The 12,323-nt window shown below is 47.4% G+C and overlaps 1 protein-coding gene across 11 annotated transcripts in view, besides 4 other annotated features; it reads left to right on the forward strand.

Moving 5' to 3' along the window:
- Positions 1-12,323, forward strand: part of EGFR (epidermal growth factor receptor) — a 192,612-nt gene that overhangs the window by 130,578 nt on the left and 49,711 nt on the right. For 9 of the 11 annotated variants that reach the window (NM_005228.5, NM_001346899.2, NM_001346898.2 and 6 more), the window contains 9 exons: positions 1,700-1,768; positions 2,952-3,070; positions 4,417-4,558; positions 6,236-6,352; positions 6,939-7,065; positions 7,165-7,238; positions 8,069-8,159; positions 10,545-10,744; positions 11,905-12,037. In NM_005228.5, the coding sequence (NP_005219.2) occupies positions 1,700-1,768; positions 2,952-3,070; positions 4,417-4,558; positions 6,236-6,352; positions 6,939-7,065; positions 7,165-7,238; positions 8,069-8,159; positions 10,545-10,744; positions 11,905-12,037 (1,072 nt within the window). Of the gene's footprint in view, positions 1-1,699; positions 1,769-2,951; positions 3,071-4,416; positions 4,559-6,235; positions 6,353-6,938; positions 7,066-7,164; positions 7,346-8,068; positions 8,160-10,544; positions 10,745-11,904; positions 12,038-12,323 lie in introns of those variants that run through there. The other 2 variants (NM_001346941.2, NM_201283.2) reach the window with 2 other exon arrangements.
- Positions 2,511-3,319: an enhancer, noted in NCBI's record as "H3K4me1 hESC enhancer chr7:55219798-55220606 (GRCh37/hg19 assembly coordinates)". NCBI's record gives its function as "activates a minimal SCP1, AML or CMV promoter by ChIP-STARR-seq in naive H9 embryonic stem cells {active_cell/tissue: H9 hESC(naive)}" and the evidence as "EXISTENCE:reporter gene assay evidence [ECO:0000049][PMID:30033119]".
- Positions 6,407-6,979: an enhancer, noted in NCBI's record as "H3K4me1 hESC enhancer chr7:55223694-55224266 (GRCh37/hg19 assembly coordinates)". NCBI's record gives its function as "activates a minimal SCP1, AML or CMV promoter by ChIP-STARR-seq in naive H9 embryonic stem cells {active_cell/tissue: H9 hESC(naive)}" and the evidence as "EXISTENCE:reporter gene assay evidence [ECO:0000049][PMID:30033119]".
- Positions 6,407-7,759: a biological region, named in NCBI's record as "P300/CBP strongly-dependent group 1 enhancer GRCh37_chr7:55223847-55225046".
- Positions 6,560-7,759: an enhancer, noted in NCBI's record as "P300/CBP strongly-dependent group 1 enhancer chr7:55223847-55225046 (GRCh37/hg19 assembly coordinates)". NCBI's record gives its function as "activates an origin of replication core promoter dependent on BRD2, BRD4, P300/CBP, MED14 and CDK7 cofactors, with strong dependence on P300/CBP, by STARR-seq in HCT116 cells {active_cell/tissue: HCT116}" and the evidence as "EXISTENCE:reporter gene assay evidence [ECO:0000049][PMID:35650434]".

Genomic DNA, 12,323 nt, shown 5'->3' on the forward strand with positions numbered 1-12,323 from the left:
CTTGGCAATATGCCTGCAATATGTATCTAAAGCTTCAAAGTATGTATAGCTTTGACCAATCAATATCACATTTCGGAATAAGAGAAAAAGAAATAATGAAAGTGAAAATCATAAGAGATGTAGAAACATATTCTTATACAAGAATTCCTTGCAGCCTTATTTATAATAAATTTTGTGAACAAATTATATATCTAAAAATAAGAGATTGGTTGAAAAAATTATGCAGCAGCCATGCTATTGATAATCATGTTAGATAGAAGCATATTTAAAGGCATGGAAAAATTGCCATGTTTTATATGGGTTTTTAAGGTTATAACACAATGTATAGTGGGATTCCAATTCCTGTATATACATAGACTTATATGTCTATATTGATTAACTCTGGATGAGTCTCATGTCTTCTTTTTGCTTTCTTCTATTATCCATATTTTATACGATGTGCCTGCATTTCTTTTTTGTAACAGATGGTCAATACTAGAATCATAAACAGATCTTGTTTGTTTATTGGCAAATGTTTCCCGTTAGAAAAAGATGCATTTTTCTTTTAAATATTTTTATTTTATACAATGATTACAAGCTTATAATAGAAATTTGAAAATTATATGTGAGTACAGGGTAAAAAGTTGAAAGAATGGGATTGCACGCTACAGATCTAGCTGCTTTTAGCACGCCTGCGTAGGACCTTGCTTTCTCTAGACCTCTGTTGCAGTCTCTCTGCCTACCTCCTCACAACGTCCATCCCCCGCGGTCACTGTCGTGATGCCAGCCTCCCCGGCCTTCATGTCTCTAAGGAGCACCAGCGCGGCAATTAGCGCCCTTTGCCTTGGTGGTATTCTGGCTTCACAGTCACATGGGAGATCAATCGTCAGCTTTTCTGTTTGAAATCTAAATTCTTCCTGACTGCAGGGGACCTCGGGACCCATGAACACCTCTAGTTTACTATGTCTTCACAGTAAAAGATATCTGCATGACTGGACTCTTTAACAAATTTGGTGGTTAACCTACTCTTTCTATATAGATATAGCACTTCGACCTTCAGACTTCTCAATACTGATAAAAAGAAAACACGACAGATGACAGGAAAACCTTTGCAGCTATAATTTGTAATCGGCCAATTATAAAAACTGCAAAAATTGACCAGATAGCTAAGGTTTTACACAGTCATGAAAGTGATCTGCACTGTTAACATTTCACCCTCTGTGCACCATTCTGTGCTTCTCTCTGGTTTGGAGTCTAGAAGGTTTTATTTACAGGCTATGACTTAACAATCCCAGAACGGCTGACACATGCAGTCACTCAAGACTGGACACAGCAAGGAAGTAGTGGGTCCATGCCAAAGGCTCAGCCAGACGAGACACTCTAGCTGTGGCAGGAGATGCCAGGGAATGCTCCAAGCCTAAGCAGATTGTAAACAAGGAACCTCAAATTCATGAAAAATTCTTGCTTATGTGGCCCATGTCAGTAATTACTCTCTGCCTCAGTTTCCGCAGCTGACATGTAAATAAAAGCAGTTCATGGTTCATCTTCTTTTCTTATCGGGGTCTCAAGTGATTCTACAAACCAGCCAGCCAAACAATCAGAGAATAAGTTGAAAAGATTGTCTTCATTTATTGAATGTGCTTAACTCAGGCCCGGGAAAGGGCGTCATCAGTTTCTCATCATTTCACTGAGATATGCATCTATTACTTTTACATTTCAGGCCAAAAGTGTGATCCAAGCTGTCCCAATGGGAGCTGCTGGGGTGCAGGAGAGGAGAACTGCCAGAAACGTAAGTCAGTGAACAGCCTCAGACCCATGTGTGACCGCCCCTCTCTTCCTTCACTTGCTTAGGTGATTGGATTTGTTTTCCCTCTGAAGACTCCAAAGAGTTACTTTATTACAGGGTCAGATGTGAACCAGTAGGTGAAGGACAGTCTTGCAAATCTCACCGCATGCAGTTAATCCAGGGTGGGCTATTTTGGGAGCTTCAGCCTATCACAAATAAGTGAACATCAGCAGGGGCTGGGCGCGGTGGCTCACCCCTATAATCCCAGCACTTTGGGAGGCGGAGGCGGTCGGATCACGAGGTCAGGAGATCGAGCCATTCTGGTTAACACAGTGAAACCTCGTCTCTACTAAAAATACAAAAAATTAGCCGGGCGTGGTGGCGGGCGCCTGTAGTCCCAGCTACTCGGGAGGCTGAGGCAGGAGAATGGCATGAACCTGGGAGGCGGAGCTTGCAGTGAGCCGAGATTGTGCCACTGCATTCCAGCCTGGGCGACAGAGCGAGACTCCGTCTCAAAACAACAACAACAACAACAACAACAATAAGTGAACATCAGCAAGTACCCCAGCCCTGTCCTCTGAACACAGCACACTTTCCCAGGAATGGAAGACTTGCTCCTGTTGACAGCAGTCACCAGACTTCTTGTTTCCTCTCCCTCCCTGGCTTTCTTTGGTACCCACCTACACAGAAGCCTGAGCACGGGTTCTCATGGGGACTTTTCCATGTGGACCCTGCTTTACGATGGAGAGGGCCATTCTCCTAGGTATGGTTGTCTGGCTCAGCCTCTCAGTGGCCAAGGAACCTGGGGACATGAGCTCAAAAACGGACACTATGTCCTTAAGCTGAATTGTGGGGGGGCTGTTAGGCCCTTCTAAACACTACTTCCCAGCAGGTATTTTTGTTCTTTGTATGTGCTTTCTGCATTGCCCAAGATGCATCTAATTATTTAGCAGGTCTCAAAGTCTAGACTTGATCTCATGAGTTCTCTTAAGTGATTAAAAATAAATCAGGAGAAAAAAGAGGCAATCAGAAAAGGGCATGGTTTGACTTAGTTTGAATGTGGTTTCGTTGGAAGCAAATGTGTCTTCACTTTTTCATGAAAAAGTCTGCAAGTGCTCTGCGACATCCCTGGGAAATGATCCTACCCTCACTCTTCAGCTCACAGGGAACCTTTGCTCTTTTTCAGTGACCAAAATCATCTGTGCCCAGCAGTGCTCCGGGCGCTGCCGTGGCAAGTCCCCCAGTGACTGCTGCCACAACCAGTGTGCTGCAGGCTGCACAGGCCCCCGGGAGAGCGACTGCCTGGTAAGATGCCCCTCCAGCAGCCTCCCTGGAGCAGGCTGGGGCTGCACCCGCCCCACCCACACCAGGACAGAAGACTTCCTGTGGGGGAGCTGTCAATTAGCATTTGTCATAACAGACAGGATATTGCCCTCTGCCTGGTGACAAAGTATCTTTAGTATCCTGCCTCCACCACTCACTGAGACCTTGGGAAAATGATGGGACTACCATGCCTCCATTTCCTTACCTGACAATGATGCATAACAAAGTCTCTCCCAGTTGAATGCTTAAATGATGAGATGCCTGTGATGTCCGTCATTAGGACCTGGGCACAGAACAAGCACTAAATACTACATGCAAGTATTTGTCATGAATGTGCCTTGTTGCCAGCAGCACACTCTCTTTATTGTTTGACTTCGGCTATACCTCTAGAGACTTGACACTGTGAGGTCCCTAAGAGACCCATGGAGAGCCACACAGGTCTTGCTGGCTGGGGCTGGGTTAGGGCCTCCTGACACGGATCCCTCGGCTCCTCCACCACTGCTCAGGCACCTCCTGAGCTGCACCCTGCCCTCAAGGGGTCCTGAAGTACTCACTGTCGCCCCATTGCTCCAGAAAGTGCCAGCAGAAGCCTTGCTGCCCCAGCGGGCTCTGAGCAGCACTGGAGGGTACAGGTCAGAAGCGTCTTGGAAGTCCTGGAGACGCCAAGGCTGGTGGATGTGACTCCTGGAGTGGGAGCTGGTGTGACGAAGCCCTTCCTAAGACTAAATCCAGAGCACTCTGTGGTTTCAGAGAAGATTCCTAAATTCCAGAGTTTGGACCCAGACCCAGGAATTGTGACTTGGTTGGCCTGAGCTGTTTCTAATGTGAGCCCCAGGGAGAAGACTGTGCGTGGGGTTGGTCCTAGGAAAAGCCCTCGCTGTATTGGGTCTGGCTCCTTTACACGGCATTGTTCTAGCAAGGCTTTCTGCCATTCAGCAATACATTATAAAATATACCCTCAATTGTACTTTATAAGGGAAGCCCAATGTCCTTTATAAGGGAAATTAAACATAATTTCATTCCATAGTCACCGCTATAATGTGTGAACTCCATCATCTATACGTTAGTAAACAGACGTATTTTTATCATAATCCATAAATTATGATAGGTGGGACAGTGCACCTAAGAAAAAAATGGACTTTTTAGAGAAGGGTCTTTCTGACTCTGCAGAGGGCGCCAGCTGGGTTTTCCCACACTAGTGGAACACTAGGCTGCAAAGACAGTAACTTGGGCTTTCTGACGGGAGTCAACACCGTGCTGCGCTTCCTCCGTGTGTGGCGCTGAGTGTACTTACCTCACTTGCCCAGCGTGTCCTCTCTCCTCCATAGGTCTGCCGCAAATTCCGAGACGAAGCCACGTGCAAGGACACCTGCCCCCCACTCATGCTCTACAACCCCACCACGTACCAGATGGATGTGAACCCCGAGGGCAAATACAGCTTTGGTGCCACCTGCGTGAAGAAGTGTCCCCGTGAGTCCTCCTCTGTGGGCCCTCTAACTGGTCAGGCATCCTTGTCCCGCTCTGTCTCCTGCTGAGCCCTGGAGTATCCCATCTTGGAGAGTCTTTGGGTGGATGTGTTTGCCTTGCTTGGAGGAGGCGACCCTGTGCCCGTCCAGGCACACAGGCGAGGGGAGGGGCTGGCTTGCTACCGAGGAGCGGGCAGGTGGTGGCCATCTCCACCCATGGGGGCTGCTCAGTGCACAGGGCAGATCTGGGTGGCCAGGCCACCTCACAGGAGAAACACCTGCTGCTCAGCCCTCACCACTCATCCAGCAGCCACAGCCGTGGGTATTCAGTTGTCTGCTGGGCACAAAGCCGTGGGCATGCCACTGTTTAGTGCTTGTGCCAAGCAGGTATTTAATACACCGAAATCAGAGAGTCTATCAGAAGACCTGCCTTCTTGAGTGGTTAAAATTCTAGTGAAAGTTATGCCTCTTAGGAGTATTGCAGAGGTTTTGTTTTTGTTTTTATTTTGTTTTGTTTTAATGGTTTGGGTTTGAGTTTTGCTTGTTTGTACTTACATTTGTACTGGTGGCTCCAGGGTTTAGGGAAATTGTGACATAAAATAATTCCTGACAGAGAAAGCAAAACTTTGTCTAATGAAAGAGTTTTAGAAGCCACTCTTGATCTCTAGAAGGGGAGATTAACTGAGAAAAAAAATTGAAAGAACAATTATGAGGGGGAGATTTTACCCTGCCAGATTTGTGTACATGAAAAATTTTACATTCCGTATGGAAAAAAAAAACACAAAATAATAAGCCATTATAAGGTAAATGACAAACAAAGCTAAAGAAAAATGTGCCACAGTGATGACACAGATATATCTTTGAGATAGGGCTTAACAGAGCTTTAAAATCCATAGGAAAACACTTCGAGCCTGAGATACCAAGAGCAGATGGTTCACAGAAGAATCATCAATGTCCTATAAATATTTTTGAGGATCTTCTTGGGGAACTTAAAACAGGAACAGGCCAGGCACAGTGGCTCATTGGCTCATGCCTTTAATCCCAGCACTTTGGGAGACTGAAGGGGCTGGATTGTCTGAGGTCAGGAGTTTGGGACCAGCCTGGCCAACAGGGTGAAACCTCGTCTCTACTAAAAATACAAAAATTAGCCGGGCGTGGTGGCGCACGCCTGTAATCACAGCCGCTCAGGAGGCTGAGGCAGGAGAATTGCTTTAACCCAGGAGGCGGAGGTTGCAGTGAGCTGAGATCACACCACTGCACTCCAGCCTGGGTGACAGAGCAAGACTCCATCTCAGACAAACAAAAAAGGAAGACATAGAGCTCCTAAAAATAACGCAGAAGTCTGCTATTAATACAAATGAATTACTTTAAAGGTGAGAGCAGGTGGAGGAGAGGGCTGAGGTGCCTGCTGGGACGCAAAACAGCTGGCCCCTCAAGGGACCCAGTGTTTCCTGCCATGATGAAACACCTGTATTGTCCACATTGCGGCCTAGAATGTTATTAAACTCTTGAACGGGATTCCTTCTCTATTTGCAACCTTTCATTCTTTGTCCTTAAAGTAAATAAAGCCAAAGGAGGATGGAGCCTTTCCATCACCCCTCAAGAGGACCTGGACCGCCTGTGTGAGGCCCGAGCACCTGGTGCCACCGTCATCACCTTCCTTTCATGCTCTCTTCCCCAGGTAATTATGTGGTGACAGATCACGGCTCGTGCGTCCGAGCCTGTGGGGCCGACAGCTATGAGATGGAGGAAGACGGCGTCCGCAAGTGTAAGAAGTGCGAAGGGCCTTGCCGCAAAGGTAGGAAGCCCGCCGGTGTGCGGACGAGGCTTGTTCTCGGCTGCTGAGGCTGGGCTCTCATGCCACCTCCAAAGGAACACATCTTCCTCTTCTCATTAAAAAACAACTATACATATCGTTTCTTTAAAACAGAAGATAAAGCTGTAAAGCTAGGTTAGGCAATGGGAAGGCACTGAAGGTTGTGACGGGGTGGGGGGCTCTGATGAGAACAGTCACAGAGCCAGCCCCGCTCAGCAGCTGCCAGGTGCCCAGCCCTGGGGAGAATCCAGGGAAGGCAGAGCTGGAAGCAGTGCAGCTCCAAGCGGCCCATGGGAAATAATGAGGAGAACGCAAGGTCAGTGTGAGGTGACAGGGATGGCATCTCCTACACCGCCGTAGCCCCAAAGTGTACTATAGGTCCTGGTGTCCCCCCTTCCCGCCTGCACTCTCCCCAGCCCCTTCAGTGTTTGTTGAGTGAATGAAGGATGATGTGGCAGTGGCGGTTCCGGTGACCGGAATTCCTTCCTGCTTCCCTCTGCCTGTGGATCCCTAGCTATTCTTAATCCAACAAATGTGAACGGAATACACGTCTCTCTTATCTCTGCAGTGTGTAACGGAATAGGTATTGGTGAATTTAAAGACTCACTCTCCATAAATGCTACGAATATTAAACACTTCAAAAACTGCACCTCCATCAGTGGCGATCTCCACATCCTGCCGGTGGCATTTAGGGGGTGAGTCACAGGTTCAGTTGCTTGTATAAAGAAAAACAAAATCTGCCTTTTTAACTGGTAGAGATTGGTGATCAATAATCACCCTGTTGTTTGTTTCAGTGACTCCTTCACACATACTCCTCCTCTGGATCCACAGGAACTGGATATTCTGAAAACCGTAAAGGAAATCACAGGTTTGAGCTGAATTATCACATGAATATAAATGGGAAATCAGTGTTTTAGAGAGAGAACTTTTCGACATATTTCCTGTTCCCTTGGAATAAAAACATTTCTTCTGAAATTTTACCGTTAATGGCTGATGTTTTGATATTTTTCAAAAGTGCAGTTTCTCCTGCAGGCAAAAGGGGACACGTTAAGTCCAGGCTTGGGTCATTCACTGCGGTGTAAACACGCTTTCTCCCTCCCGCCCGGCCCCAGCCAGCTGCCTTGGTGGCCCATAACCCCTGAGGGTAGAGGGAGGGGACAGGGGTAGGTGACAGGCAGCCTGGGCCTCAGGCTTTTGAAACTGGACGCCAGAGCCTTGTGGGGCCACGGGCAAGCCTCGGGTCTATGACTGCCGCCTGAGCTCCGCTTCCTTCCTCTCTAAAATGGGAAGATTAGACCAAAATAACAAGACTGTTTTAAGGTTGGAATCAAATAAGGAAAATTTGTAAAGCTCCTTGTATGTGATACCAGATCCACAATTGGCAGATAATCGCAGCAGGAGCCTCTTCGGGGTAATCAGATACGCGGCGCAGCAGGGGTCTCAGGGCCACAGCCAGGGGGGCGGCGGGAGACATGCGGAATCGCAGCGGAAGGCGGGAGGCAGCTGTGAACTGTGGCTCGGCCTGCGTCCGCCCTGCGCATGTACACTCAGAGAAGATGATAATGAAAAAGAAAGCAAATCCAATTTTCCCACTTACTGTTCATATAATACAGAGTCCCTGAGAGTCTAGAGTAATGTCTCATACAAAAAAGAAACTCCTACGTGGTGTGTGTCTGAAGTCTTTCATCTGCCTTACAGGGTTTTTGCTGATTCAGGCTTGGCCTGAAAACAGGACGGACCTCCATGCCTTTGAGAACCTAGAAATCATACGCGGCAGGACCAAGCAACAGTAAGTTGACCACAGCCAAAGCCTGGTAGATTACATTTGCCTTTTTAGTTGGAAATTAGGCTTAACAGGAGAGTTGCTAAGATAGGGCACAGAGCTCCTGCATCTCTCGCCGGCATTCCCAAATGCTATCTCACATGAGCAGGCACAGGGAGCAAGACTGCACGACCACTGGCACAGGCTGTCCGCTAAACCACAGACTTCTCAGCGCTCGCCAGTGCTTCTGCTTCTGTGTCCACTCCAGATCCCACATTGCACTTAGTTGTCAAATCTTTTCAGTCCATTTCTAACCTATATTAGCTCCTGTGTCTTTCCTTGTCTTTCACGGCCTTGACACTTACAAAACGTGTGGGTCAGGTACTTTGCACACTGTCTAACCATGTCTGTTCAGCTGGTGTTTTCTCAGGATGCAATTGAGGTTATGCACATCTTATCACAGGGACCAGAGAGACTTTTTAGCACCACTCTTCAAGAATTTCCACTTTTTCAGCTTTGACAGTGGAATAGACATGCAGGTGCTCACACACAAGCATCTTTAATATGGTAATGGTAATCATCAGTTTAGTGGTGTGGAGGAGGAGATGGGAATCTCTTAGTGAAACCCGCCTTGGAAGCAGCCTCGTTATGAGAACTGCTGCCCCTACTTGACTCTTAAAGCACTAGATAATACTGTGCAACATTAAAGAGAATAAGAGTGCGTGAAATATGCATTGCCTCCCATAAACTCCCTTGGCTCTGAATCTCTGATACTAAATATGTGGCTACCGTTGCTTCCCAGAAAGGCCTTTTTGCTCTGAATTCTCTGGAATGCTTTCTTTGACCAAGATTCTTATAAAAATAAGAGATTTAGAGCAATTTTCTTGGATGGCTGGTATGAGCCAGTTGGCTTAGTTGTAGGGATTTAAACAAGATAAGGGTTACTTACTTTTCACATTTAATGAGAAGTCTGGTGATTCCAGCTCCTACTGAGACAGGGTGGCCACACGTTCCAGGGTGTGACTCACTGAGGCCCCAGACCTGCCCTGCAAGGAAAACCTGGCTCTGCCCTGGTGTCCTGGCCTCCCTGGGCATATGTGGGGGAGAATTCCTAATGGTATTGGTTACAGGCTCCTATGCGAGACCACTCATCTGTGTAGGAGAAAGGAAAAAGATGGGGGAAAGAAGAGCAGCAGGGAGAGGAGAAGCCTCTGGATGATACTCTAACCCCCTGCCATCCAACACCTGAACATCAGTCTCTTCATCCAGTGCTCTCAGCTGGCCCAGCCCCCAGCCTGGGGTCAGATGAGAGCTTCCTGCAAATGCAGATCTCTTTCCTGTGGCTCCTTCTCAATTACAGACAGCTCCTCCACAAGGTGCACTCTGGCCTTGTGCTCCCTCCCCAAACCAGCCCAGCCCTCCCAGCCTGCATCATCGTGGTCCTGTAGGGGCTAGAGGTTCTCACACCCATCGTGGTCTGGCAGAGGCTGGTGGTTCTCACACCCATCGTGGTCCGGCAGGGGCTTAGTGGTTCTTATACCCATCGTGGTTCAGGAGGGGCTAGTGGTTCTCACACCCATCGTGGTCTGGCTGGGGCTAGTGGTTCTCATGTCCACCGCGTGCTTTCCTGCTCCTCCAGGTGGCTGAGGACATCCCCCCTTCGGTCTGAATGACTTCCATCCAGTCATCTGATATACACATTGGACCACCCAATAGCATCCTAGTGTCATGTTGGATGGTGAAGAAAATGCCACAGTTACTGCTTTCAGGGCCTCACAACCTTGGGCATAGCTTTTTGGAGGAAGGCCCCACTTCCCAGGCATCCCTCCCAGACCTGGTCAGAGGCCCCTGCTCTTTGCTTCCATGTTGCCCACACTCACTGTGCTCTTCACACCGGCTCAAAATGATCTGCTTACGGGGTTGTGTCACCACCAGATCAAGCGTCCTGGAGAGGAGGAAACATATTTAACCTGCACAGAATTTGGGACAGAGAACCTCTAGTGTTTGTTCAATAAATATATGAATGGATAGAGGGACAGGTTGGGTGGTGGATAGATGGATGAACCCACACCTTTGAAGTGTATTTGGCTGTTTGAGAGGTTAGAATATGTTCTCAATTTCCAGGCAAAATGAAAATGGAGAAAATATAATGACATTAAGGCATTTTATTCATCCTCCCCATCTGCCACTGGGTTAAAGATACTAAATAAACAAGGAACTATCTTTTGCCTGGAGGAACTTTAAAAACACCTGCAGTTTTCAAAAGGTGCAGTGTGTGCCTCCCACAGCATGACCTACCATCATTGGAAAGCAGTTTGTAGTCAATCAAAGGTGGTCTGGAGAAACAAAGTTTTCAGGGATACATTGTTTTTATAATTTTTCACCACATGATTTTTCTTCTCTCCAATGTAGTGGTCAGTTTTCTCTTGCAGTCGTCAGCCTGAACATAACATCCTTGGGATTACGCTCCCTCAAGGAGATAAGTGATGGAGATGTGATAATTTCAGGAAACAAAAATTTGTGCTATGCAAATACAATAAACTGGAAAAAACTGTTTGGGACCTCCGGTCAGAAAACCAAAATTATAAGCAACAGAGGTGAAAACAGCTGCAGTAAGTCACCGCTTTCTGTTTAGTTTATGGAGTTGGTTCTAATGGGTCCTTTATTTGTATTTAGAATATTGAAGGGCTATTCCCATTTAAATTACTTTTTTCAGTTCCTTAAGAAGCAAATTAAAATCTTAAGATTCCTAACTGTGAAATTACCATGTGAATTCCATTAAAACTTTTTCCAGATCATTACCATTCAATGGGATGAATTTACCCTGAGGTTTAGGCTACCAATTATTTGTAATGTAAGTAACTAAATTTAGTATTAGTTATATTACCTTTTAGTTGTAGGTCACTCTCTGCTCATTTCAGCCTGTAAAGACTACAGCTACACACATACACACACAGAGGAATGGAATGAGCACTTTACATCAACACTTCCTGTTCTGGCTCTAGAGCCTCAGCTTTTGAAGCTGGTGAGAGCCTGGCCTGTGCTGGGCCTTGGCCACGGGCAGCGTCAGCTTTGAGTCAAGTGCTGGTCTGGCCTCCCTAGCTTTGAGCCTCTGTCAATTCCCTTAATCTGTTTAGGCTTTGGCTTCCTCATCCATAGAATGGAGATATGAATGATTCCTACGCCGTAGTGCTTTGAGAGAATTCAGTGAAATTCCTGTGTGTAAAACCCTTCCATGGTGCCTAGCACACAGCACACAGCCAATGGCCCAATGGCTCCTATCAGCTGTGGGATTTGTCATCAGAACACCACCAGCTCTGCTCCAGGCTGCCCTGGGTACCATCAAAACACACCCTGTGCCCAGCAGCACCTGCTCCTCTGCACACCTGGTTCCTTCAGCAGGGGCAGTGGCCGTGGGAGCACAGAAAACATGGAGTCCCATCTGGTTTAATTGATGCCATTGCCAAAGGGGAGGACTCACGGCACCCCCTCTCGGGTGCCAGGGTGCCTGGCTCCCACCAGGAGGAAGACCTGTCCTCCACTGTCAGGCACATTTCAGTCTTCCCAGCAGCCAGCACAACTACTTTGTCCTTCCAGTCACGGTCGGCCTCTGGGAAGCCCAGTCTGTGTCCTCCTCCTTCAGGGGTAGCCAGCATGTCTGTGTCACCCAAGGTCATGGAGCACAGGGCCCCTCCCGGGAAGGTGCCGTCTCCTCCGGCCCCTCGGGTCCCTGCTCTGTCACTGACTGCTGTGACCCACTCTGTCTCCGCAGAGGCCACAGGCCAGGTCTGCCATGCCTTGTGCTCCCCCGAGGGCTGCTGGGGCCCGGAGCCCAGGGACTGCGTCTCTTGCCGGAATGTCAGCCGAGGCAGGGAATGCGTGGACAAGTGCAACCTTCTGGAGGGGTAGGAGGTTATTTCTTTAATCCCCTTGCGTTGATCAAAAATAAGGCTCCAGGTTGTTGTTATAGCTTTACAGGCATTCTGTTTGATTTTCTCTTCCTTTTATTCTTTGCCCTTGGCTTTTGGAGGTTTTGGGTTTTCTGTGGGGAGACGGGAAGTTGTTTGATTGCGTTATTTTTGGCAAATTTAAGCACAATAGGAAATAAGCAAGTATTATTGCCTAATATAATCCAATAATTTATAGAATCTCTTTTCCTGGAAGTATCTTAAATTTTTCTAAGCTACAAAA

Source organism: Homo sapiens, chromosome 7 (genome assembly GCF_000001405.40).
Source record: "Homo sapiens chromosome 7, GRCh38.p14 Primary Assembly".
Lineage (NCBI taxonomy): Eukaryota > Metazoa > Chordata > Mammalia > Primates > Hominidae > Homo > Homo sapiens.